Source organism: Homo sapiens, chromosome 7, assembly GCF_000001405.40.
Source record: "Homo sapiens chromosome 7, GRCh38.p14 Primary Assembly".
In the NCBI taxonomy this organism is placed as follows: Eukaryota; Metazoa; Chordata; class Mammalia; order Primates; family Hominidae; genus Homo; species Homo sapiens.
This window is the reverse complement of record NC_000007.14, coordinates 43,959,548-43,985,888: the sequence shown is the minus strand read 5'-3', so window position 1 is coordinate 43,985,888 and position 26,341 is coordinate 43,959,548. Positions and strand designations below refer to the sequence as shown.

General features: G+C 54.3%; 1 pseudogene across 1 annotated transcript in view, besides 1 other annotated feature; it reads left to right on the top strand.

Annotated features, from left to right (window-relative positions):
- POLR2J4 (RNA polymerase II subunit J4 (pseudogene)) overlaps positions 1–26,341 on the top strand; it is a 78,300-nt pseudogene that overhangs the window by 33,306 nt on the left and 18,653 nt on the right. The window contains exons 8-13 of the transcript NR_003655.3: positions 12,566–12,679; positions 13,198–13,259; positions 16,028–16,157; positions 19,494–19,625; positions 19,928–20,022; positions 23,799–23,916. The product of NR_003655.3 is annotated as an RNA polymerase II subunit J4 (pseudogene) (transcript). The remainder of the gene's footprint in view (positions 1–12,565; positions 12,680–13,197; positions 13,260–16,027; positions 16,158–19,493; positions 19,626–19,927; positions 20,023–23,798; positions 23,917–26,341) is intronic.
- Positions 14,492–15,009: an enhancer, noted in NCBI's record as "H3K27ac-H3K4me1 hESC enhancer chr7:44010479-44010996 (GRCh37/hg19 assembly coordinates)". NCBI's record gives its function as "activates a minimal SCP1, AML or CMV promoter by ChIP-STARR-seq in primed H9 embryonic stem cells {active_cell/tissue: H9 hESC(primed)}" and the evidence as "EXISTENCE:reporter gene assay evidence [ECO:0000049][PMID:30033119]".

Below are 26,341 nucleotides of genomic sequence, written 5' to 3'. Positions count from 1 at the left end.
CCCGCAGATCACCTGAGGTCAGGAGTTCAAGACCGGCCTGGCCAACATAGTGAAACCCCAGCTCTACTAAAAATACAAAAAATTAGCTGGGTGTGGTGGCACGTGCTTGTAATCCCAGCTACTCAGGAGGCTGAGGAAGGAGAACGGCTTGAACCTGGGAGGTGGAGGTTGCAGTGAGCTGAGATTGCATCACTGCACTCCAACCTGGGTGACAGAGTGAGACTCCATTTAAAAAAAAAAAGGGGGGGGTGTCAGGGTTTCATACAGAGCTCAGGTGCCTGAGCCTGGGGCACAGAGAGTGTCCACAAGGCTTCCTAGAGAAAAGGGGAGACCTAGCCCTGGTGGGATTTGGGGAGGAGGGGGAGAGGGAGTGATAAAAAGGGGGTGGGGAGGTGTGGGGGCAGGAGGGGCAGGAGGAGCAGGAGGGGTGCATGCAGCCAGGCCAGGCAAGGGGCCCCAGGTGCCTAGCTGAGGAACTGGGCTGTATCCTGCAGCCTATGGGAGCCGGGAGTGGGTTTTGATCAGGGGAGACAGGCAGATAATGTTTGAGCGGGGTCCTGAGGTGTGGAGGGTGGAGGGGGAGAGTGATGGGGAGCAGGAGCAATGAGCTGGATTTGTGAGGTTTGAAGGAATCGCCTCAGTCCCTTTGGTTAATTCTGCCCGGCCAGTGGAGTCTCAGTTTCCCCTGTGCGATGGGTCAGAGCATGCTAGCCAATGGCTGTGGGATCTCGGCCAGAGCCTTTCTTCAGCATCCATCATCTCTCCCTCTCTCCTCCCCTCCCAAGCTTCAACAGCTGCAGGAGCACTTCCCTATCAGGCCCAGAGGAGACAGGGAGTGTGAGAAGATACACCACGCACCTCGCGTTCAGCACTCTGGCCGAGGGGGATTCCTGAGGGGTACCAGAGGGGCCCACGTGTCCCTACACCTCCTCCCTGGCCCAGGCTGCAGAGCCTGGGCTGGGACACGCCCTGAAGCTTCTGGACCCTGAGAGAGATTGTTTCTTTTCTTTACTTTTTTTTTTTTTTTTTTTTTTTTTGAGACGGAGTCTCACTCTGTCGCCAGGCTGGCGCGATCTTGGCTCACTGCAACACGGGTTCAAGCGATTTTCCTGCTTCAGCCTCCTGAGTAGCTGGGACTACAGGCACACGCCGCCATGCCCAGCTCATTTTTGTATTTTTAGTAGAGATGGGGTTTCACCATGTTGGCCAGGATGGCCTCCATCTCTTGACCTTGTGATCTGCCTGACTCGGCCTCCCGAAGTGCTGGGATTACAGGCGTGAGCCATCAAGTCTGGCGAGAGAGATTGTTTCTAGATGAGGGTGGGGGCGGGTGTCCTTAGCCCAAAGCTTGTGCCAGTCTCTATCAGAAATAAATGCCCCCAACACCTCCCTGCCTGCCTCTGACATCATACACCTGGGTAGTCTTTCTGCACCACTGCCCCTGGCTCCTCCTCCTGAGGAGGTCCCCAAGGGCGTGTAGGACCAGGGCAAGGCTCAGGATCCTAGAGAAATTGTCACCTGGGGCAGGACAGGTCTCTCTGCCAGCCTTACTGTCCCTATCTGTAAAATGAGGATGGTAACCCTGAACCCACAAGGCCACAGTAAGGCTAAACCAAGGTGAACATGCCTTGGGAACTGTGAAGACTGTGGACCCAAAGCCGGTTGCGGTGGCTCAGGCCTGTAATCCCAGCACTTTGGGAGGCTGAGGCAGGAGGATCACTTGAGCCCAGGAGTTCGAGACCAGCCTGGGCAACATGGTGAAACCCTATCTCTACAAAAATGACAAAAAATTAGCTGGGCTTGTTGGCAGACTGTGGACCTGAGATAGGTGCTCCTCTTGTCCTGCCCAGACAGCCTCCTGGTAACCAAAGGCCACGGGGCAGCATGGCTGGCACTTGCTATCTTTCCACCCAAGCATCCTCCCTGTGGCCCCTCTCCCCAGCCTGCCCCCTGTTGGCTGGAGGACTTCAAGCCCTCTGCCTCCACTTCCTCCAATCCTTTCCTAGAGTACACGAAAGGCAAAAGGTGCAGTTTCTTTTTTTTTTTTTTTTTTGAAATGGAGTTTCACCTTATAGCCCAGGCTGGAGTGCAGTGGCACCATCATAGCTCACTGCAGTCTCTAATTCCTGGGCTCCAGTGATCCTCCCACCTCAGCCTCCTGAGAGTAGCTGGGACTACAGGCACATGACACCACGTCTGGCTAATTTTTAATTTTTTTGTAGACATGGAATCTTACTCTGTTGCCCAGGCTGGAAAGAACAGTGGTGTGATCATAGCTCATTGCAGCCTCAAACTCCTGGGTGCAAGCGATCCTCCCGCCTCAGCCTCCTGAGTAGCTTGGACTGTAGGTACATGGCACCATGTCTGGCTAATTTTTTAAATTTCTTTAGAGACGGGGTCTCACTATGTTGCCCAGGCTGGTCTCGAACTCCTGGTCTCAAGTGATCCTCCTGCTGGGATTACAGGCGTGAGCCACTGTGCCCAGCTCATGCAACACTTATCATCAGGATTCCCACTCAGTGCTCGGACCCCAGGGGCCAGAGATGCCCGTGGCAAGGTTCTGCCCTCAAGGTGCCCACTGCTTTAGGGGGAGGACAGTGATACTACCACATACGAGAGAAGGAGAGGACACAACTGTCAGGGAGATGGACTGTTTGAGCTTCAGAGGCAGCATCTTGGGGAGGGGTGGCTTTGAAGAAGGAGCAGGACACTTGGGCCAGGTGGACCTTGGAAGGGTGCCAGGCAGGAGGAGCAATGTGTTGCTGATGGGCAGGTAGGGGAGGGTGAGGGATGGAGAGGAGACCGGAAGACACCCTGTGCCATGTGGAGGGGCCCCGCCCTCTGGGGCAAGAGGTCAGGGAGGAGGGCGCTGGCTGGGTTCCCAGGCGCCTGCCCCTGAGAGGCGCAAATGGCCCTAATGGGGTTATTAGGTGGAGCAGATGCATCCGGCTCCTGCTGTGGAGGAAATGCTCAAATGATCTTGAAGCTACCAGGCTGGGAGAGGCAGGCAGGGGATGGGGCAGACAGGCTGCCAACCTCTGTGAGATAAGCCCTGGCCTCTCCAGAACCTTTTCAGAACAGCTTTGAGCCCCAACCCTGGGGCTGAGTGACCCAAGACAGATCACTCACACTCTCTGGGCCTCAGTTTCCCCTTACATAAAAAGCAATGGTTAGGCCAGGTGCAGATGGCTCACACCTCTAATCCTAGTGCTTTGGGAGGCCGAGGTGGGAGGATTGCTTGAGACCAAGAGTTCAAGTCCAGCCTGGGCAACATAGCAACACCCCATCTCTACAAAATATAAATACAAAAATTAAGGCTGGGCATGGTGGTTAAGGCCAGGCGTGGTGGCTCACACTTGGAATCCCAGCATTTTGGGAGGCAGAAGCAGGAGGATCACCTGAGGTCAGGAGTTTGAGACCAACCTGGCCAACATGGTGAAACCCCGTCTCTACACAAAATACAAAAATTAGCCAGCCATGGTGGTGCATGCCTGTAATCCCTGCTACTGTGGAGGTTGAGGCAGGAGAATCACTTGAACCCAGGTGAAGGAGGTTTCAGTGAGCCCAGATCATGCCACTGCACTCCAGCCTGGGTGACAGGGAACAAGACTGTCTCAAAACAAAACAAAAGAAAAATTAGCCAGACATGGTAGTGTGAACCTGCAGTCCCAGCTACTATGGAGGCTGAGGTGGGAGGATCGCTTGAGCCCAGGAGTTGGAGGCTGCAGTGAGCTATGATGGCACCCCTGGACGCCAGCCTCTGTGACAGAGCAAGACCCTGTCTCTAAAATGAAACATTTTTAAAAGGGAAGGTGAACTGGGTGAACTCTAAGACCCTGCATTTCACAAACCCTTGCCCACACCCTGTATGCGTCGGGCCCTGGCAGGAAACAGAGGGTACGCTGTCTCACAGGGCAATTGAGAGCGTTTACAAAGGTGTGGGCAGCATTAGGGGAATGGACCAGAGAGGGTGACCTGGGACTTGGCTGTAATGGGGCCCTAAGCACTCCTGGATCTGATTGCTGATGGGAGGGAGGGAGTGATGTTTCCTGGATCAGCAGGCAGTAGCCATGGGTGAGGGGCCCCGCAGGAGCAGGGGCTGTAGGTGAAAGGATGAAGCCACCAGAGGGAACTGGGCTCTGTCTTCCCGCCCCCTGATCTCATGCCAGTGTCTCCACTGGCCACACCTCACGAGAAGCAAGAGAGTGTGGGGTCTCAGTGGTGCAGTCCCTGGAGGCCAATCTGCTGGGTCAGAGCAGGACAGAGAAAGCGAAATGGACATACAGAGGCACACGCCACTTTCATGCTGATCCAGTGGAATTAGATCCTTCCTGTTCTTTCTTTTCTTTCTTTCTTTTTTTTTTTTTTTTCCTTTTTTAGAGATGGGGTCTCACTCTGTTGCCCAGGGTGGGGTATGGTGGCGTCTTCATAGCTCACTGTAGCACTGAACTCCTGGGCTCAGGCGATCCTCCCACCTTGGCCTCCCAAAGTGCTGGGATTTCAGGCACTACAGGCACCTAGCTAACTTTCTTTCTTTCTTTTTTTTTTTTTTGGGTAGAGGCAGGGTCTCCGTCACCCAGGCTTGAGTGCAGTGGCACGATCATAGCTCACTGCAGCCTTGAACCCCTGGGTTCAAGCAATCCTCCCACCTCAGCCTCCCAAGTAGCTGGGATTATAGGATGTGCCACCACCCAGCTAATTTTTTTATTTTTTGTAGAGATGGGGTCTCGCCATGTTGCCCAGGCTAGTTTGGAACTCCTGAGCTCAAGAGATGCTCCCACCTTGGCCTCCCAAAGTGCTGAAATTACAAGCATAAGCCACCATGCCTGGCCTCCCTTCCTGGCCTTCTGGTCTCCAGACTGGAGAGAGGGCCACAAAGTCCTGCCCAGACAGAGGGCTGCTAAGGCTGGGGTGGGGCTGGGGGTGTGCAGAAGGGACTCTGCAGGGGCTGACCTCTGAGTCTCAGGGGACAGGGCAAATTTTTTTTTTTTTTTTTTTTTGAGATGGAGTCTTGCTCTGTCGCCCAGGCTGGAGTACAATGGCACGATCTCGGCTCACTGCAATCTCCGCCTCCTGGGTTCAAGTGATTCTCATCTCTCAGCCTCCCGAGTAGCTGGGATTACAGGAGTGCACCACCATGCCCAGCTAATTTTTGTATTTTTAGTAGAGATTGGGCGGGGTGGGGGGTGGGGTGCAGGTTTCACCGTGTGGCCCAAGCTGGTCTCAAACTCCTGACCTCAAGTGATCCTTCCGCTTCAGCCTCCCCAGGTGCTGGGATTACAGGCATGAGCCACCGCACCCAGCGGGGACAGGACAATTTTGCCAGCTGGAGAAGGGGTGGCCCCCAAATGTCCCCTTCACCACCCTCCTGCCTCTTCCTTCAGAACACTTTTTCCCTGAAGCCCTCCTGGGTAGCCCCCTACCCACATGCCTCAGCATTGGGATGTGGGGAGTGTGGGGGTCCCCCTTGCTCCTCAGCCCCATTTGGAGTAATGTCCTGTGCAGCTGAGCTCACAACTCCTCCTCCACCTGTCCCTCCACCCGGTGTCACTGGCAATTGCTCACTTCCTGGGCCTGCACCCACTCAGCTCCCCTATCCCTGGGCACCAGCCTCAGCCAGCTCCCATGTGGACTAATGACCCTTGTCCCTCCCCTCAGCTGCCTCTCTTTTTTCTTTTTTTTTGTTTTTGAGACAGAGTCTGGCTCTGTCACCCAGGCTGGAGTGCAGTGGCGCGATCTTGACTCATTGCAACCTCCACCTCCTGGGTTCAAGCGATTCTCGTGCCTCACCCTCCTGAATAGCTGGGATTACAGGCACCCGCCACCATGCCCGGCTGATTTTTGTATTTTGGTAGAGACGGGGTTTCACCATGTTGGCCAGGCTGGTCTCAAACTCCCGACCTCAGGTGATCCGCCCGCCTCAGCCTCCCAAAGTGCTGGGATTACAGGCATGAGGCAGCTCGCCCGGCAACCCTCAGCTGCCTCTCATATGTCCTTGGCCCCCTGGCCATCTCTGACCAGACATCCAGGAGGCCCCTCCTGCCAATATGCTTCCCCGACAGCTGAGCCCAAAGCTGCCTCCAGCCCTGCACCTTGTCTTGGTTCCCTGGGTGCTCCCTTTCCCAGGCTGAAGCCTGGACAGCCCCAGGCAACCTCTCTCCCTGGCCACAGTACCACCCGGCCACATGCCACACTGCTTTCTACAGCAGACACCGCCTGGCCACAAAGACTTAAGCCACTTCCTTGGGTCCTGCTCAGTGCTGAGCCCAGAGCCCAATCTCGGACTGGGAGAGAGCCCAGTACATGGCCAGTGGGATTCTCCCGATGAAAATCCCAGCCATGCGAGGCTGGCTTCTCCAGGTTCTCTGGGGCCTGTGAGTCCAGGGCTGGCTGGAGGGAAAGCCCCTGGCCCCTTAAAGCCACTGATCATGTTCCCAGAGAGGGATCCTGAGAATCCCCTGGGAGAGAAAATGTCGGAGCCCCAGTCCTGGCCCCCCCTTGACCGGCTTGGGCCTCAGCCTCCTCATCCATGAAAAGAATGGACAAGAGGGGTCTGGGTGCGGTGGCTCACGCCTGTAATCCCAGCACTTTGGGAGGCCGAGGCAGGTGGATCACGAGGTCAGGAGTTCAAGACCAGCCTGGTCAACATGGCAAAACCCTGTCTCTACTAAAAATACAAAAATTAGCCGGGTATGGTGGTGCACGCCTGTAGTTCCAGCTATTTAGGAGGCTGAGGCAGTAGGATCACTGGAACCTGAGAGGCAGAAGTTGCAGTGAGCTGAGATTGTGCCACGGCACTCCAGCCTGGGCAATAGAGCCAGACTCCATCTTAAAAAAAAAAAAAAAAGGAGGGACAAGAGGCACCAGAAGCTCCTGTCCAGGTCTGGGCCTCCCTTGGGTCACTCAGTTCTCCCCCATTCATTCATTCATTCATTCACTCACTCACTCACTCACTCACTCACTCATTCCCACACTCTGCAGCCACTGACTTCAGCTAGCCATGCTGGATGCTAAGACATAGAGTCCCGGCCATCAAGGCCAGTCCATCTCAGTGGCATCTAGACATGCACAGAGATGACCAGGGAGCCCTTGAGGGACAGAGAGGCACACCCTGCCTCCTGATCCCATCTGGGGGCTGCATGAAGGAGGGGCACAGGTGTGGCCTTGAAGGCTGGGTAAGGGGCTGGGAGGGCTTTAGGGGCATTCCAGGGGGCAGGCACAGAGCTGGAGGCTCTGCCAGGCACACCCACAGGAGAGCAATGGCTGGAGGGTGACATGGACTGCAGGGTGTGGCCGCGGCAGCCCAGCTCTTAAGGGGACAGCCTGGGAAAACAGACTTAGGGACAATGATCTTGAGCCATGAAATGATGTCCAATGCCCCTTGTGCCACCTGACATCAGCCTGATTAATGAACAAACAGAAGAGGAAGCAGGGGACCTGTGTGTCCCTCTCTCTGCTTTTCTGTCTTTCTCCGTGCCCCCTCTCTTATGTCTCTCACGCTGTCTCTTGTCCTTGTTTTTAACTCTGACACGCCGTGGGAACTCGGCTCACTTCCTAGGGGGAAGCTGTCTGGACTGGCCCAGAGATGGGCACCACCATTTCCCAATAAACACAAGATAAAATCAGAGAGCTGGCGTCAGTTCCACGGCTGGACTCAGTGGGGAAAAGGGCAAAAAGCAGCAGAAATAAGAGCAGGGAAAGAACGGGCTGGGTGCGATGGGTCCCATCTGTAATCCCAGCGCTTTGGGAGGCCTAGGTGGGAGGATCGCTTGAGCCCAGAAGTTCAAGACCAGCCTGGGCAACATACGGAGACCCCCATCTCTTAAAAAGTTTTAAAAATTAGCTGGGCATGGTAGTGTGCATCTGTGGTCCCAGCTACTCAGGAGGCCGAGGTGTGAGGATCGCTTGAGCCCAGGAGGTCGAGGCTGCAGTGAGCTATGATTGCATCACTGCACTCCAGCCCGGGCACAGAGCAAGACCCTGAGACCTTGTCAGAAAGAAATAAAGAGAGAAAGAGAGAGGAGAGGGAGAGGGAGAAAGAAAGGGAGAGAGAGAGAGAGAGAAAGATGAAAGAAAGAAAAAGAAAGCAAAGAAAGAAGGAAGGAAAGAAAGAGGAAAGAGGAAGGAAGGAAGGAGAGGGGAAGGAAGGAAGGAGAGGGGAAGGAAGGAAGGAGGGGAAGGAAGGAGAGAGGAAGGAAGGAGAGGGGAAGGAAGGAGGGGAAGGAAGGAGAGAGAAAGGAAGGAAGGAAGGAGGGAAGGGAAGGAAAGGGGAGGGGAGGAGAAGGAGAAAAGAAAGAAAGGAAAAAGAGCAAGTGGATATCAGGGGACAGAAACCATTCGCAGCCCATCCCTCAGCAGATGCAGAGGGAGTCAGCCTGGAACCCCCACCCCTGCTGGCTGTGCCCCACGGCTGTCTCCACACCCCAGCCCTTCCTCCAGACACCCAGCCGTCCACTGCAGCAGGAGCACAGGTGCCCCAAGGGGACCACTGTTGGAAACCAGGCAGCCCTCCACTCACCCACACAGTGTGTCTCTGCACCCCCTCTTTGACATGGGAGCCGGGGCGCTCTTGGAAATAAGGGTTTACCTGAGGGGTCTGAAGACTTGGGCAGTGGGGGGCTGTGAAGCCTCGGGGAGGGAATCAGCTTGTCCAAGAGTCTGGGGCAGCGAGTGGGCGGGGGCTACCCGGTCTGACCCCATCAAAGTAACCTTCCTGGGGGATATTTCCATTGCAGGGTCACAAAAAGGCAAGGGCTATGGTTCGAGAGAGGGGTCTCTCTGGGGTCCCAGCCACCCTGCTGTGGGGGCCCTTCCCAAGCAGGACACTCCAGGCAAAGGGGATGGCTTCCCCTTGCTCCCAGGACCCATAGGTGAGGTCCTGGCTGAAATGCAGACTGTCCCCAGATGCCCCTGGGGACTTGTAGGGATTTGGGGGATTCAGTGTTGCAGGAGCTGGAACCCCTGCTTGCTGGACGGGTTTGAGCTGTGCTGTCGGGCCCAAGGCTCCTGGGTCTCCAGGATGGTGCATGAGGGCTCACACCAGCTGCTCCCTGCCACCCTTCCCCCACCTCCCACCCCTTCTCCTGGAGCCCCAGTCCTCTGGTCCTCCAAGCTCAGCTTCAAATGCTTCCATCACTTCTGTCTCTTCTACCTTGAGTGGTTTGTCAACCTCCAAATCACACGGAGTTCAAGAATATCTCAAATATCGACCAGGTGCGGTGTCTCACACCTGTAATGCCAGCGCTTTGGGAGGCCGAGGCGGGTAGATCACCTGAGGTCAGGAGTTCGAGACCAGCCTGGCCAACTTGGTGAAACTCTGTCTCTACTAAAAATACAAAAATTAGCCGGGCGTGGTGGTGGGTGCCTGTAATCCCATCTACTTGGGAGGCTGAGGCAGGAGAATCTCTTGAACCAGAGAGGTGGAGATTGCAGTGAGCCAAGATTGTGCCACTGCACTCCAGCCTGGGCAACAGAGTGAGACTCTGTCTCAACAACAACAACAAAAAGAATATCTCGAATACAAAAATTAGCTGGCTGTGGTAGTTTACACCTGTAATCCCAGCTACTCAGGAGGCTGAGGCAGTAGAATCTCTTGAGCCTGGGTGACAGAGCAAGACGTCATCTCGAAAAAAAAAAAAAAGAGTATATCGAATACAAAGGAATATCTTGAATACAAAAATTAGCTGGGCATGGTGGCACACGCCTGTAATCCTAGCTACTCAAGAGGTTGAGACAGGAGAATCGCTTGAATCCAGGTGTTGGAGGTTGCACTGAGCTGAGATTGCGCCACTGCACTCCAGCCTGGGTGACAAAGCGAGACTGTGTCTCAAAAAATAAAAAAATACAAAATTAAAAGAAAGATTATCTCCTGGCCACCCATGGTGCAGGCTGTAATCTGTCTCTGCTGGGGTGAAGGGACGGAGGGAGACAGGTGAGAAATGAGAACACAGACCTGGAGACTCAGACCACCCATGCCAGCTACCCAGGTCACTTCAGCCCAGCCCAGGGAGCCCCTGCCCAGCACAAGCCTCATGCACAGTAGCAGTGTTAAGATGGGCCCTTGGGCCGGGTGCAGTGGCTCACACCTGTAATCCCAGCACTTTGGGAAGCTGAGGTGGGTGGATCACTTGAGGTCAGGAGTTCGAGACCAGCCTGGCCAACATGGCGAAACCCTCGTCTCTACTAAATATACAAAAATTAACTGGGCGTGGTGGTGAGTGCCTGTAATCCCAGCTATTCGGGAGCCTGAGGCAGGGGAATTGCTTGAACTCGGGAGGCGGAGGTTGCAGTGAGCTGAGATCGCACCACTGTACGACAGAGCAAGACTCCATCTCAAAAAAACAATAAAAAGAATTGCTGGAGGAGGGAAGTGAGGGGCGGCTGGCGGGGGACTGCTGGGCTGGTGCAGAGGGAGTCAAGGATCCCTAAGAGAGAGGCAGGGGTGTTCAGCTCTCCCACCTCTGCTGGATGAACTTGCAGAGCCTCCTTGGTGACTGAGCTGGTGCAGAGACTCTGCTCAGGACAACACCCTTGCCTGGGACCCCCACATCTCTGGCCCCAGCAGCAGCCCTTGGGGGGGTCCCTTTATCTTCCTCCACTCCTACCCAGGCTTCCTCAGCAGGAGATGAGGCAGGATATTTCCACTCCCTTTCTGGAAGGTTCAGAATGTTAATGAGAGCTAAGCACGTAAGTCCATTTAGGGGGATGAACTTCTGGGAAGAGAGGAACCTGGGTCTGGGCTGACGGCCAAGGGCGGGCTGGGTGACGGTCCCTCTGATCACGGAGCCTGTCCACCCGCTGCCCAGGGCCCTGCCTCGACCCCTCTGACCAGCCACTGAGCCCCAGAGGGATCTCCATGAATGTCAGAGACATTGACTGGAGGCCTTATCTCCAGTGGGAGACCCCTTCTCTTCCCACCGTGGGCCGGTTCCAGCCTGGGCTGTCCAGGAAGTGACCTCTCAGGGCCTGGGAAGGGTGTGGCCAATGGTTCTTGGTTGTACTCAACTCATCTGCCTTGGGTCTAAGGCTGGGGTGAATGGAAGGGCCCACCTGGACCCTGGAGGGACACCAGGCTCGTACTAAGATCCCAAAAAGTGAAAAGCTTTCCTCAGGCCCAAGCAGAGAAACTGGACCTTGAAGCTACATCTCTGGACTTAGTCCTCAAAGTAGGAGACATTTGCCTCTAAGCTGTTCTCTCCTACCCCACCTTTCTGTGAGCCGCCGGTTCCCTGTTGTTCACATCAAGCTGTGTGCTGGGCACTGGGTGCAGGAATAGCTTGACCACAGTCTCTATCCTGGGGGTAAAGGGGTGGCCAGCCCACAGAGGGATGGACTGCAAACAGACAGTCCCAAAGTGCCATGAGAGAAGCTCTCAGGGCCTGGGCGTGATGGTTCATGCCTGGAATCCCAGCACTTTGGGAGGCCGAGGTGGGTGGATCAGTTGAGGTCAGGAGTTCGAGACCAGCCTGGCCAATAAGGTGAAACTCCATCTCTACTAAAAATAAATAAATAAATAAATAAATAAATAAATAATACAAAAATTAGCCGGGCATGGTGGCACGCACCTGTAAACCCAGCTACTTGGGAGGCTGAGGCAGGAGAATCACTTGAACCCCAGAGGCAGAGGCTGAAGTGAGCCAAGATTGCGTCACTGCATTCCAGCCTGGGTGACAGAGCGAGACTCCATCTCAAAAAAAAAAAGAAAAAAAAAAGAGAGAGAGAGACAGAGAGAGGCTCTCAGCCTGCAGGAAAGGGCTCTCTCCTTGTTGGCCAACCCAGTGGGCCCTTTAGCTGTGACGGGTGTGCCCTGGGCCCACCAGGACAGGAGCAAGGTCAGGAGGGCTGCTCTGCTCTGCAAAACAGAGGCTGATGGATCTGAAGTTTCTGTTACTGGGAGAATAAAGGGAGGTGAAGGAGACACGTGGTAGGTCCCCTGGGAAGGTGGTGGGAACGCGTGTGAAATGCTCGGAGAGGCACAGTAAGAACCGGCCTGTTTAGAATCCAGTGTTCTACGCCTGCCCCAGGCCCCAGCAATTCTGCTTCTAGACATCTCCCCATGAGAAATGAGCACTGAGCCTCCCAAACATGTCTTTTGGGAGGCCAAGGGGAGCGGATCACTTGAGGTCAGGAGTTCGAGAGCAGCCTGGCCAACAGGGTGAAACCCTGTCTCTACTAAAATGACAAAATTAGCTGGGCGTGGTGGCAGGCGTCTGTAATCCCAGCTACTCAGGAAGCTGAGGCAGGGAGAATTGCTTGAACCTGGGAGGCAGAGGTTGCAGTGAGCTGAGATGACGCCACTGCACTCTAGCCTGGGCGACAGAGCGAGACTCCGTCTCAAAAAAATAAAATAAAATAAATAACAGCCAGAGAGAGGCAGCCCTGTGCCCCATCCAGAGCAGAGAGGAATGTCAGGGGGTAGTGATTGGTGGTGAACAGTAGGGTCTGGCACAGGGAAAACACATCAGTGGCAGAGCCAGTTGTTATAGGGGTAGGGGGAGATACAAGGAAGGTCCAAGCCCAGGGCCTGGGGGTGGCCTGGGCACATGCTGAGGGTTCTCTCCTGCAGGACAGCCACAGTGTGGAAGACCCTGTGCCCCTTCTGGGGTGAGGAGTACCAAGTGCACCTGCCGCCCACCTTCCACGCTGTGGCTTTCTACGTCATGGATGAGGATGCCCTCAGGTGAGTGCCCCCCTCTCCAGCTGGGACCCAGACCTGGCCATCTGATTGCTCCCTGGCCCATTTCACCACCAGGACTCCTGGGTCCTTTTTGGCATCCTCTTTGCAGCCTGGAGGGAGGCAGAGCCTGGGGGCCTGGGAGGGCGAAAGGCTTGAGCATGTGGGTGTGCACATGCGTGGCTCCATGGTGCATGCACCACATACACACGTGTGTGTGCAGGCATGCGGGCACAAGTGTGCATGGACTACACGTGTGCGTGCAGGTGTGAGCTGTGAGATGGGCACCCAGAGAGTGTGAGCTTGGCATGTGTGGGCATGTGAGAAACCTATCACATCCCCCTAGAGGGTCCAGAACCCACAGCCTACAGAAGGGCCACAGGTCCAGCTCTGTTGGGTTACTCTGGAAATGACATCGGTGTCCACCACCCTGCTCCCCCCGGGGGGGCCCTGAACTTGGTGGGAGGTCCCAGAGGGCAGATACTGAAGCCCTGCCCAGCTCTGCCTCCATCTCCCTCCTCTAGCCGGGACGACGTTATCGGAAAGGTCTGCCTTACAAGGGACACCATAGCTTCTCACCCTAAGGGTAAGTTCTCCCTTCCCTCCCGCACTGGTCTGCCCAGTCCCTGGCCTCCCTCCCACTCAGAGACCTCCCCTCTAGGCTCCGTCTGGTCTCCTGCTCAGGGAAAGCCATTTCTACTCTCCCCAGAAGCCGGGGCCACGTTCTGTACTCCTGGCCTCTGTTCTGCAGCATGTTCCCAAGCCTGGTTGTTACTGCCTCTTCCCTAGGGTGAAGAGGGGCTGCTATGGGTGGAATCTGAGGCCTCTGCTGGCAGAAGAAGGGGCCTCCTTACACTCTATTGCTGAAGCATAGGGACCCCTTCTCCAAATCAGGCCAGCTCCTTCTGTAACCCATGGGGTCTCCTCCATCTGGGCCCTAGTACTACTGTGTCCTAAGTCTGAAGGGTTGGCCTAGAGCCAGTCCAGGCTGGAGATCCCTTTCAATTATTTCTGGGATGCAGACATTGTTTTGTGTTATTGTTTTTACAATTTTTATATAGTTTTTTAAAAAAAGAAAAGGCCGGGCACGGTGGCTCACACCTGTAATCCCAGCACTTTGGGAGGCCGAGACGGGTGGATCACGAGGTCAGGAGATCGAGACCATCCTGGCTAACATGGTGAAACCCCGTCTCTACTAAAAATACAAAAAAATTAGCTGGGCTTGGTGGCAGGCACCTGTAGTCCTAGCTACTTGGCAGGCTGAAGCAGGAGAATGGCGTGAACCCGGGAGGCAGAGCTTGCAGTAAGCCGAGATCGCGCCACTGCACTCCAGCCTCAGCAACGGAGCAAGACTACACCTCAAAAATAAATAAATAAATGAATAAAAAATAAAAATAAAAAATAAAATAGAGGCCGGGTGCAGTGGCTCACACCTATAATCCCAGCACTTTGGGAGGCCGAGGCAGGTGGATCACCTGAGGTCAGGAGTTCAAGACCAGCCTGGCCAACATGGCAAAACTCTGTCTCTACTAAAAATACAAAAAATTAGCTGGACGTGGTGGTGGGCACCTGTAATCCCAGCTACTCAGGCGGCTGTGGCAGGAGAATCGCTTGAATCCAGGAGGCGGAGGTTGCAGTGAGTCAAAATCACGCCATTGCACTCCAACCTGGATGACAGAGCAAGCTCCATCTCCAAAAGAAAAACAAAGATGGAGGCCGGGCATGGTGGCTCACACCTGTAATCCCAGTGGCAATTCACTTGAGATTAGGAGTTCAAGACCAGCCTCGTCAACATGGTGAAACCCTGTCTCTACTAAAAATATAAAAATTACCTGGGCATGGTGGCACTCACCTGTAATCCCAGCTACTAGGGAGGCTGAGACAGGAAAATCTCTTGAACCTGGGAGGCAGAGGTTGCAGTGAGCCAAGATTGCGCCATTGCACTCCAGCCTAGGTGACAGAGCAAGACTCTGTCTCAAAAAAAAAAAAAAAAATGGAGATGGGGGGTCTCACTCTGTTGCCCAGGCTGGTCTTGAACTCCTGGCTTTGACAGATCCTCCCGCCTTGGCCTCCCCAAGGTGCTAGGATTACAGGTGTGAACCACCATGCTCTGCCAGACATGATTTTGAGGGTTCAGCCCTGTGCCAGCCTCACTGTGTGTGACCTTGGGCAGCTCTTGCCTTCTCTGGGCTTCTCTGAGGGTTCAAACCAGTTCTTGGATGCTATGGGCTCTGCCATCAGAGCCTTTGTGTCCCGCTTACTGGCTTGCCCCCACACACACCTGCTCCTGTCTGTGACGCTGGGCCAGGGATGGGGGCAGGGCGGAGGCAGGTTCTGCTGACTCATGGGGCTTCTTGGCCCCTGCCAGGCCAAAGGCCTTTCCCACCTGCAGCCTTAGCCAGCGTCTCTGGGGTCTAGTGGCCCCAGTGAGGCTATTCCTCCGGGTGCCTTGTAGCTTCCCCATCCAGGCCTCAGACCCTCCTCCCAGCAGCCCTAGGGGAGGGCCACTCTCTTCCTGTTTTAAGATGGGGAATCTGGCTGGGTACAGCGGCCCACACTTATAATCCCAGCACCTTAGGAGGCTGAGGTGGGAGGATGGCTTGAGGTCAGGAGTTTGAGACCAGCCTGAGCAACATAGCAAGACTCCATCTTTTTTTTTTTTTTGAGATGGGGTCTTGCTCTGTCACCCAGTCTGGAGTGCAATGGCGCAATCTTGTAGCTTCTCCATCTGGGCCTCAGACCCTCCTCCCAGCAGCCCTAGGGGAGGGCCACTCTCTTCCCGTTTTAAGATGGGGAATCTGGCTGGGTACAGCGGCCCACGCTCATAATCCCAGCACCTTGGGAGGCTGAGGTGGGAGGATTGCTTGAGGTCAGGAGTTTGAGACCAGCCTGAGCAACATAGCAAGACTCCATCTTTTTTTTTTTTTTTTTTTTTTTTTTTTTGAGATGGGGTCTTGCTCTGTCACCCAGTCTGGAGTGCAATGGTGCGATCTGAGTTCAAGTAATTCTCCTGCCTCAGCCTCCTGAGGAGCTGGGATTACAGGCATGCGCCACCACACCTGGCTCACAGGGTGAGACCCTGTCTCTAAAAACAACAACGACAAAAATGACACAATAGTGAGGGCACAGGCCCCAGGTCACTGACTTAGATTCTAATCCCAGCTCTTCCAACTGCTGTTTCTTCACCTGCTGAGCCTCAGTTTCCCCATCTGTCATTGGGGATACCAGCCCCTGCTTCACGGGTGCCTAGGGGATTCCCAGGAGATTATGGAGGTGCCTCAAGGTGCCTGGTAGGGCTGAGGGTGGAGGGTATGGGGGTTCAGGGCCGTGTCCCTGGCTGAGCTGACCCCACAGGTTTCAGCGGGTGGGCCCACCTGACGGAGGTTGACCCTGATGAGGAGGTGCAGGGCGAGATCCACCTGCGGCTGGAAGTGCGCCCAGGGGCCCGGGCCTGCCAGCTACGCTGCTCTGTGCTGGAGGCCAGGTGAGACTCAGGGGCCTGGGGGCGGGCAGTGGGTCCCCTGCAACTAGAGAAACCCAATGAGGAAGCTGAGCCCCCCCTCGCCCCACCTCTACCTCCTGGTCCCAGAGCTGGCCACCTCCCATCAAAGCCTGCTCTCAAGAGAGGGTCTCGCCAGGCACAGTGTCTCACACCTGTAATCCCAGCACTTTAGGAGGCCGAGGCAGGTGGTTCACCTGAGGCCAGGAGTTCAAGACCAGCCTGACCACCATGGTGAGACCCTGTCTCTACTAAAAATACAACAATTAGCCGGGCATGGTGGCAGGCGCCTGTAATCTCAGCTACTCAGGAGGCTGAGGCAGGAGTCTTGAACCCAGGAGGCAGAGGTTGCAGTGAGCCGAGATGGCGCCACTGCACTCCAGCCTGGGTGACAAGCGAGACTGCATCTCAAAAAAAAAAAAAAAAAAGAAAGAAAAAAGAGAGGGTCTGGGGAGGTTTTCTGGACTTGAAGATGCTTCTTGGGTGATTTCCACTCAAGGGGATATGTCCCTTAAGGGACAGTCTAATGTTCTCATGGAGGAACTGGAGCCATCACAGAGGAGTGGAGTAGGGGGTACGGGTGAGGAGACCCCGAACTCTGATCACACAGCCTCAGTCCCCCAGTGCTAAGGCCGGCTTCCTTATGTTTAACGCCAGTGTGAACTTGGCCTGGTGGGAGTGTGTGTAAGTGGGTCCCTCGTGGGGCTGGGGGGGTGAAAAGAGTTGCTGAAAATCTCCCGATGGGCAAATTGAGGGTTCCCCCAAGGAGGGACAGTGGTTTGGATGGTTCCATGGGCCTGAGTCACCTGTGACAGGGCCACCCCCCAACCCCCAGGGTATTTTTAGCTGCAGGCTGCACTCCCGTCTGGGCCTGGGTCTGAGTCACACTCTGTCCGTGAGAAGCGTCTTCCCTTCCAGCTCCAAACCCACCTCCCCAAGTTGCTCCCTGCCTGTGAGGCAGGAGGGTGGCCCCCAGCCAGGCAGCCCTATGGAGCCAGTGTTCCCCCCACCCTTGAGGGGTCAGCCTGTCTAAGAGGAAGACTTCCCTTGGGCAGAGGGGTGTGGGTCGGATGATGCCCATGTTGCTCACTCTGGCTTCCCGGGAGTTATTTTCTGTCCTGGGAAAATAGAAATGGATGGAAAATGTCTGGGCTTGGGCCGAGCCTCAGCCACGCCCCCACACTCGCTCACTCTCTGGCCCTGCCATTCATTCCCCCCCGCCCCACCCCAACTCACCTGCTTCTTCCATCCTTATCCTTTCTGGGCACCAGGCTGTCTGGGGGACAGGCATGCACACGTGTGCACCCGCTCACACACGTGGCCGGGCTCTGGGACCTCGGGGCCACTTCTCCCAGGCACCCATCGTCACCCACGGAGATGGGAGGCATGGAAGCATGTCTCCCTGGCCCTCCCCTCTCTCCAGGAATCTCCCCTCTCCCATCCTCTGGGGCCACAGTGGTTGGCCTTCTAGTGAGTCCTAGCAGGGGAGAGGAATGTCCAGGCCTCTCTCAGAGTGAGGGGACTTGTCCCCCGTTGTCCTCGGCAATGAGACTCCTGCTGCAATTCCAAGTCAGCCTAAGAAGGTCCATTTGCTGCAGAGGAAGAAAGAACATTTCCTCCTTATTTTTTCTGGGGAGATTCTCAATATTTCAGTAAAACCTTGGGGTTTTTTTGTTTTTTGTTTTTGAGACAATCTCGCTCCATCATCCAGGCTGGAGTGCAGTGGCCCGATCTCAGCTCACTGCAACCTCCACCTTCTGGGTTCAAGCAATTCTCCTGCCTCAGCCTCCCTAGTAGCTGGGATTACAGGTGTGCACCACCACGCCTGGCTAATTTTTTGTAGTTTTAGTAGAGACGAGACTTCACTATGTTGGCTAGGCTGGTCTCAAACTCCTGACCTCAGGTGATCTGCCTGCCTCGGCCTCCCAAAGTACTGGGATTACAGGCGTGAGCCACTGCACCCGGGCTGTTTTTTTTTTTGGTGTTTTTTTTTTTTTTGAGGCAGTCTGGCTCTGTCGCCCAGGCTGGAGTGCAGTGGCGTTTTCTTGGCTCACTGCAACCTCTGCCTCCCCAGGTTCAAGCAATTCTCCTGCCTCAGCCTCCTTCCCAAAGTGCTGGGATTATAGGAATGAGCCGCTGCACCCAGCCTCAATGTTGGGGGGTTTTATTAGACAGTCTTGAGGGGGAAGAAAGGCAGGTATGAGAGGCTTAAAATATCGAAGATGAGTGGGCTTTGGTGTTCTTCCACAAAGAGTTCTAAGTAGGGGATACTGGCAGGGTGCAGCGGCTCACTCCAGTAATCCCAGTGCTTTGGGAAGCAGAGGTGGGAGGATCTCTTGAGGCCCGGATTTCGAGACCAGCCTGGGCAACAGCAAGATCCAGTCTCTACAAAAAAATTTAAAAATTAGCCAGGTGTGGTGGGGCACACCTATAGTGCCAACTACTTGGGAGGCTGACGTGGGAGGATTGCTTGAGCCCAGGAGGTGGAGGCTGCAGTGAGCTATGATTGCATCACTGTACTCCAGCCTGAGCAACAGAGCAAGACCCTGTTTAAAAAAAAAAAGAAAAGAATAAAAGGGCCAGGCGCGGTGGCTCACGCCTGTAATCCCAGCACTTTGGGAGGCCAAGGCAGGCGGATCACCTGAGGTCAGGAGTTTGAGGGCAGCCTGGCCAACCTGGTGAAACCCTGTCTCTACTAAAAATACGAAAATTAGCTGGGCGTAGCGGCAGGCCCCTGAAATCCCAGCTACTTGGGAGGCTGAGGCAGGAGAATCACTTGAACCCAGAAGGCGGAGGTTGCAGTGAGCTGAGATCGTGCCACTGCACTCCAGCCTGGGCGACAGAGCAAGACTGTTTCAAAAACAAAACAAAACAAACAAAACAAAAACATATGTGTGCAGGTATCTTTTTTGTATAATGACTTCTCCTCTGGGTAGATATCCAGTAGTGGGATTGCTGAATCAAATGGTAGTTCTACTTTTAGTTAGTTAAGGAATCTCCGCTGTTTTCCATAGTGGTTGTACTAGTTCACATTCCCACCAGCAGTGTAGAGGTATTCCCTGTTCACCACATCCTCATAGTCAGTACTGTTCTGCTGTGTGGCCTCGGATACATCTTTTCCCCACCCTGGGCCTCAGTTCTCCCCATCTGAGAAATGGGTGGGAGCTTGGACAGGACATTTTAACCTCTGCTGTGGCAGAACCTCCAAGGCGAGGAGGCTGTGGGGAACCCAGGGGAGGTGTCTAGGGCAGCTCTGCCTTTTGCCCAGCCTGGGGAGTCCAGTGGCATCAGCCTAACCCCCTCCCACCCTCCTCTGGGCAGATCATGAAGAAGTCATGCTACCCACGCTGGAATGAGACGTTTGAATTTGAGCTGCAGGAGGGGGCCGTGGAGGCGCTGTGCGTGGAGGCCTGGGACTGGGACCTTGTCAGCCGAAACGACTTCCTGGGCAAAGTGAGCACCACCGCCCCGCCCCCCCTCCTCCCCCGGCAGGCTGCACCTGCTGTCCCCCAGCACCTGGCTCCATTGCAGCCATCCCATCCTCAGGGACCTCCTTCTGGCTTCCCCAAAGAGGGACACTCAGGAAGCCTGGGACTACCCCCCCACCTCCACCGTCTGCCAGAACCAGCAACTTCCCCCCACCACCACTGGCACTCAGGGACCCTTGGAAGAGGCCCCTCCCCACTAAGAACAGTAGTTGGCAAGGAGGAGACCTAAGTCTCCCAGCTCCAGGAAAACTGCCACTATGTCCCCAGGTGGTGATCGATGTCCAGAGACTGCGGGTGGCGCAGCAGGAGGAGGGCTGGTTCCGGCTGCAGCCCGACCAGTCCAAGAGCCGGCAGCATGACGAGTAAGTGCATGGAGCTGGGCAGCCGGCCTCAAGGGGTGGGGTGGGGGCTGACATTTGGGAATTGGCTACAGGCAGGCAGGGCAGGGGGGCTGCTCAGGGGTGAGAGGTCAGGAGACACAGCTCCAGGGTCCCCTCAGCCCCTGCCCACCTAGCCAGCATCCTTCTCATCCCGGCTGGGCTCCACCTCCCCTTTATTTATTATTTATTTATTTATTTATTTATTTATTTATTTATTTATTTATTTATTTTGAGATGGAGTCTCACTCTGTCCCCAGGCTGGAGTGCAATGGCGTGATCTCGACTCACTGCAGGCTCTGCCTCCCAGGTTCACGCCATTCTCCTGCCTCAGCCTCCCAAGTAGCTGGGACTACAGGCACCCGCCACTGCGCCTGGCTAATGTTTTGCATTTTTAGTAGAGACAGGGTTTCACCATGTTAGCCAGGATGGTCTCGATCTCCTGACCTGGTGATCCACCTGCCTCGGCCTCCCCAAGTACTGGGATTACAGGCATGAGCCACCGCGCCCGGCCCCTCCCCTTTATTTTTCCCCACAGTTCTGCATTCAGCTCAGCTCTGTCTTCTGTCTTTTTTTTTTTTTTTTTTTTTTTTTTGAGATGGAGTCTTGCTCTGTCACCCAGGCTGGAGTGCAGCGGCACAATCTTGGCTCACTGCAACCTCCACCTCCTGGGTTCCAGTGATCCTCCTGCCTCAACCTCCTGATTAGTTGGGATTACAACTGTGTGCCACCATGCTCGGCTAATTTTTGTATTTTTAGTAGAGACAGGGTTTCACCATGTTGGCCAAGTTGGTCTCGAACACCTGACCTCAAGTGATCCACCCGCCTCAGCCTGCCAAAGTGCTAGGATTACAGGCATGGGCCACCAAACCCGGCCAGGTCTGTCTTCTTAGCTCACAGGTTGTACAGGTCTCCTGCTTTCTGCCTCTGGAAGTTTCTGAAACAAGTACTCAGACATTTTCCCTTTGAAAATTTCCCTGCAGACCTCAGACCAGGGTTCAAGTCTCCAAGGTCAGTGTCCCTGAGCCATAGCTCCAACTCCCTATGCCAGATTCTCCAGGAATAGGGTTGTGAGATAAGATAGGACACCGTTGGCCAGGAGCGGTGGCTCATGCCTGTAATCCCAGCTCTTTGGGAGGCCAAGGTGGGAGGATCACTTGGGGCAAGGAGTTTGAGACCAGCCTGGGCAAGAAAGTGAGACTCTGTCTCTACAAAGAAATAAAAATTAGGCCAGGCTCGGTGGCTCACGCCTGTAATCCCAGCACTTTGGGAGGTCGAGGTGGGCGGATCACCTGAGGTCAGGAGTTTGAGACCAGCCTGGCCAGATGGCGGGCGCCTGTAATCCCAGCTACTCGGGAGGCTGAGGCAGGCAGAATTGCTTGAACCCCGGAGGCAGAGGTTGTAGTGAGCCAAGATTGCGCCATTGCACTCTAGCCTGGGTGACAAAGCTAGACTCTGTCTCAAAAAAAAAAAAAAAGAACACCCAGTTAAAACTTAATTTCAGATAAACAGTGAATAATTTTTTTTTTTTTTTTTTTTTGAGCAGCATCTCACTCTGTCACCTAGGCTGGATGGAGTGCAGTGGCATGGTCTTGGCTCACTGCAACCTCTGCCTCCCAGGTTCAAGCAATTCTCATGCCTCAGCCTCCCGAGTAGCTGGGATTACAGGCATGCACCTGTACCACCAGTGCAGTGGTGATCATAGCTCACTGTAGACTCCACCTCCTGGGTGCAAGCAATCCTCCCACCTCAACGTTCCGGGTAGCTAGGACCACCTCACCTGGCTAATTTTTTGTAGTTTTAGTAGAGATGGGGTTTCACCGTGATGGCCGGGCTTGATGTTGAACTCCTGACCTGTGCCCGGCTGTGAATACTTTTTTAGTATAAGAATAACCGCTGGGCGTGGTGACTCACACCTGTAATCCCAACACTTTGGGAGTTTGAGGCGGGTGGATCACTTGAGGTCAAGAGTTCGAGACCAGCCTGGCCAACATGGTGAAACACCGTCTCTACTAAAAGTACAAAAAATGGTGGTGGGCACCTGTAATCCAAGCTACTTGGGAGGCTGAAGCAGGATAATTGCTTGAACCCAGGAGATGGAGGTTGCAGTGAGCCGAGATCCCACCACTGCACTCCAGCCTCTGTGACAAGAGCGAAACTCCGTCTCAAGAAAACAGCTGGGTGCGGTGGCTCATGCCTGTAATCTCAGCACTTTGGGTGGCCGAGGCGGGTGGATCATGAGATCAGGAGTTCAAGACCAGCCTGGCCAACATGGTGAGGCTCTACTAAAAATACAAAAATTACCCGGATGTGGTGGCGGGCACCTCTAATCTCAGCTACTTGGGAGGCTGAGGATGGAGAATTGCTTGAATCTGGGAGGTGGAGGCTGCAGTGAGCCGAGATCGTGCCACTGCACTCCAGCCTGGGTGACAGAGCAGGACTCCATCTCAGCAAAAAAAATAAATAAATAAAGAAGAAGAATGACCATGCACTATTTGAGACATACCTATACTAAAAATATTCAAATTTAGGCCGGGTATGGTGGCGCATGCCTATAATCTCAGCACTTTGGGAGGCCAAGGCAGGAGGATCACTTGAGCCCAGGAGTTCAAGACCAGCCTGGGCAACATAGCAAGACCCCATCTCTAAAAAAAAAAAATAAGTAAATAAAATATTCACATTTAACTGGGTGTCTTGGGTCGTTTTGCTAAATCTGGCAGCCTGTCTAGGAAGCCCTCTGGCTTGTTTGCTGTGGCCCACAGCCCTCAATGGTTCAGCTTTGTGTCTCTGTGGAAGGCCCCAGACCCCCACTCCCCCAGTTCCCATCCTTAACAGGGTAGGAGCAGGTGGACGGCTGTGTGTCCAGCACAAGGTGTTTCCATAGAACCAGCCAAGGCCCATCTTGCCATCTTATTTTTTATTTATTTATTTTTTTTGAGACAGAGTCAGGCTGGAGTGCAGTGGTGCAATCCTGGCTCACTGCAACCTCTGCTTCCTGGGTTGAAGCGCTTCTCCTGCCTCAGTCTCCCGAGTAGCTGCGATTACAGGCACCTGCCACAATGCCTGGCTAATTTATATATATATATTTTAATAGAGATGGGGTTTTGCCGTGTCAGCCAGGCTGGTCTTGAACTCATGACCTCAAGTGATCTGCCTGCCTTGGCCTCCCAAAGTTCTGGGATTACAGGCATGAGCCACTGCGCCAGGCCCAGGGGCCCATCTTAACACTGCTCTGTGCATGAGGCTCGTGCTGAGCACGGGCAGTGGGAGCCTTAGAGGCTCCCACTTGGTCCACACCCTCCTCTGTTCTGAACTTCCCTATCAGAACAGGGAAGCTGGGAAGCTCAATCTAATGTGGCAAGTTGCTGAACTGGCTCGGGTCTCAGTTTCCCTATTAGGTTGTTATGAGGGTTGGGGATTTGCTTCTGCTGTAAAGTGTACCCATGATGGTGCCATTATCTGGGAGTTGATAGATTCAAGGCTGGCAGCTCCACATACCCAAGCTTGGAGGTGGCAGGGAGCCACACCTCGAAGACAGATAGAGGTGCCTTGAGTGCAGAGACAGGAAGGGCTTTCCAAAAACAGAAAATAAATAGCCCGGGCAGAGCCTGGGAGGCAGAGCTGTGCAGGGCACCCGGATGGAGGGCATGAGCAGAGAGATGGGAGGCTGGCCCCAAGGGAAAAAACTGGAGGCCATGGGAGCGGTGTGGTCCAGGGTGGCCTGAGTCCCTGGTGGAGAGGTCACAGGCTGCCCATTCCAGGGGCAACCTGGGCTCCTTGCAGCTGGAGGTGCGGCTGCGGGACGAGACGGTGCTGCCCTCCAGCTACTACCAGCCACTGGTGCACCTGCTGTGCCACGAGGTCAAGCTGGGCATGCAGGTGAGGGGACCTGGGCAGGGTGGGAGGGTCCAGTGGCAGTAGGCCTGTGCGCCTGTCCTTCCAAACCCATTCTGCAGAGCAGAAACCTGAGGTCTGGGGATGTGAGGAGCTGGCCAGTGTCCAGGGCCCCATCCCCAGCCACCCCTTGGGAAAATGTCCTCTTTCCCTGGGATGCTCTGAGGTCCTCAGAGGGAAAGGTTCGGGATCCCCCGTGCCTCTCCCTGCAGGGCCCAGGGCAGCTGATCCCACTCATCGAGGAGACAACCAGCACCGAGTGTCGCCAGGACGTGGCCACGAACCTGCTCAAGCTCTTCCTGGGGCAGGGGCTGGCCAAGGACTTCCTGGACCTGCTCTTCCAGCTGGAGCTGAGTCGCACCAGTGAGGCCTGGGAAGGAGCTGGGCCCAGAACGCTGGGAGGTGTTTGGGGGTGGGTGGGCTCCTCCTGTAGGAGGCAGATGGGGTCAGACAGGAGGGAGGCAAGGAACAGAGCCAAGGGCAGAGGTGGGACAGTGGGCTGGGAGGTGGCGAGGAGGCCCTTTATTGAGGGGCCAGCTTAGATCCCCCAGCCCCAAGGTCCTCTGTCCTCCCCCTCCCCCAAAAGCTTTGTCCCAGCCCCCTACCCACTGGGACCTCTGTTTGTAGTCAGAGTTTGTTTGGCTACTTCCTTTGCAACCCCCACCCCCAACCTTTTTCTGCATGGTAGATGAAAAATTGAAAGTACCTCTGATTGGTCCCTTTCCACAACCAATGAGGCTGGTCATGGGCCAAGTCTTCATTTGCATAGGAGTATAACTTTGTAACTTCACTTCAGCCTTTTCCCAATCAATCAGAGATTTGCATAGGGTGTAACTTTGAAACTTGCTTCAGCCTCTGATAGGTCCCCTCCCTCAACCAATCAGACTGATTGTGGGCACTACTTCATTTACAAGGGTGTACATCAAGTAACCAATGGGAAACCTCTAGAGGATATTTAACCCCCAAAAAATTCGGTAACCAGGCTCTTGAACCACTTGCTCAAGCCACTCCCACCCTGTGAAGTGTACCTTCATTTTCAATAAATCTCTGCTTTTGTTGCCTCATTCTTTCCTTGCTTTCTTTGTGCATTTTGTCCAATTCTTTGTTCATGACACCAAGAACCTGGACACCCTTCTCGGGTAACAAACCCACTTCTAAAATAATGGCATTAATCCATTCATGAGAGCCTCAGCACCTCCCACCTCCCACCACTCAACACCATCACACTGGAGATCAAGCCTCTAAGATATGAACTTTGGTGGACACATTTGAACCACTGCCTTGTCTTACAGGCAGAAGCTCTGACATTTCTGAGAGGAAAACAGTTACTTCATCCTGACCTGGAGAAGTCTCAAGTTGTGGCAAAATATCTCTTCTCCTTAGCAGTCCAGTCTGCAGTCTTCACCCCTCCTTTGAATTCGTCCTGGATCTTCTTTTCAATCTTTTCTCTTTTCCACAGTGCAGGTCTCCCTACTTCTCTACTTTGACTTCACTACTGTTTACATTAGAAAAAGTGAATTTACATAAATAGAGGCTCTCCAGATCTCCTAATTTTCAGTCTTTTCCCCCCTTACTTCAGTAACATCTCTGCTTGTTTTTCCTTCAGACCAGACCCTCAGGTGACTTTCTGCCCCCTCATCCCTCTGCCCCCAGTCTCCATATTCTAGAGGAGTTTGGCCATCAGTCTTATGGTACTTATACCGTCTTCTCTTTGGTGAACATACCTTTTTTTCTCTTCTTTGTCTGGGAATACTCCTATTTAATCACCTTCTAGTTGTCAGGTTCCTTCACCCGTTTGGCCACCAGTCCCAGGTGGAAGCCCTAGGAGGTCTGGGAGCACTTTTCAAATTTTAGTCTACCTGAGGAGAAGCTACCCTTACCTGAAACCAGGTTGTGCAGGCCAAAGAAGCAGGTCTCTGTGTTCTGGAATTAGATCAGCTCAGTGAGGTGACCAAGCTCCATGTAGAGAAGACTATAAGGAGGAGTCTCTAGTGGTGAGAAGTTTGAGGGAGCATGATACTGCTTCCTGTTGCAGTGTATGGAAACCTGTTTCAGCTTGATAGGCCAGGGAAAGCCTTAGAGGAGGTAACTAACCCTGGAGCAGAGACTGGGTTCTGAGGTAGGAGCCAGCTTAATTGGTCTGAGAAGTGGGACACAGGGAGAAGGAGAGGCCAAGGGAAGGGCTTTGGGTTTTATTCTATGTGTAATGGAAACCCTGATGGGTTTTAAAGAGGAGAGGATGTGGCCTGCCCTATGTAGACCCCCTCGCCCTTATCCCTCTCATGCTCCCATTTTTCTTGTTTAAGTTTCCTGTTGGCTGTCCTGTAACCACTCAATGGGTTCTTCTTTCCTGTTGCTCAGATACAGCTGATCTATCAAGATCAGAGAAAGAGTATAATACACATAGAGC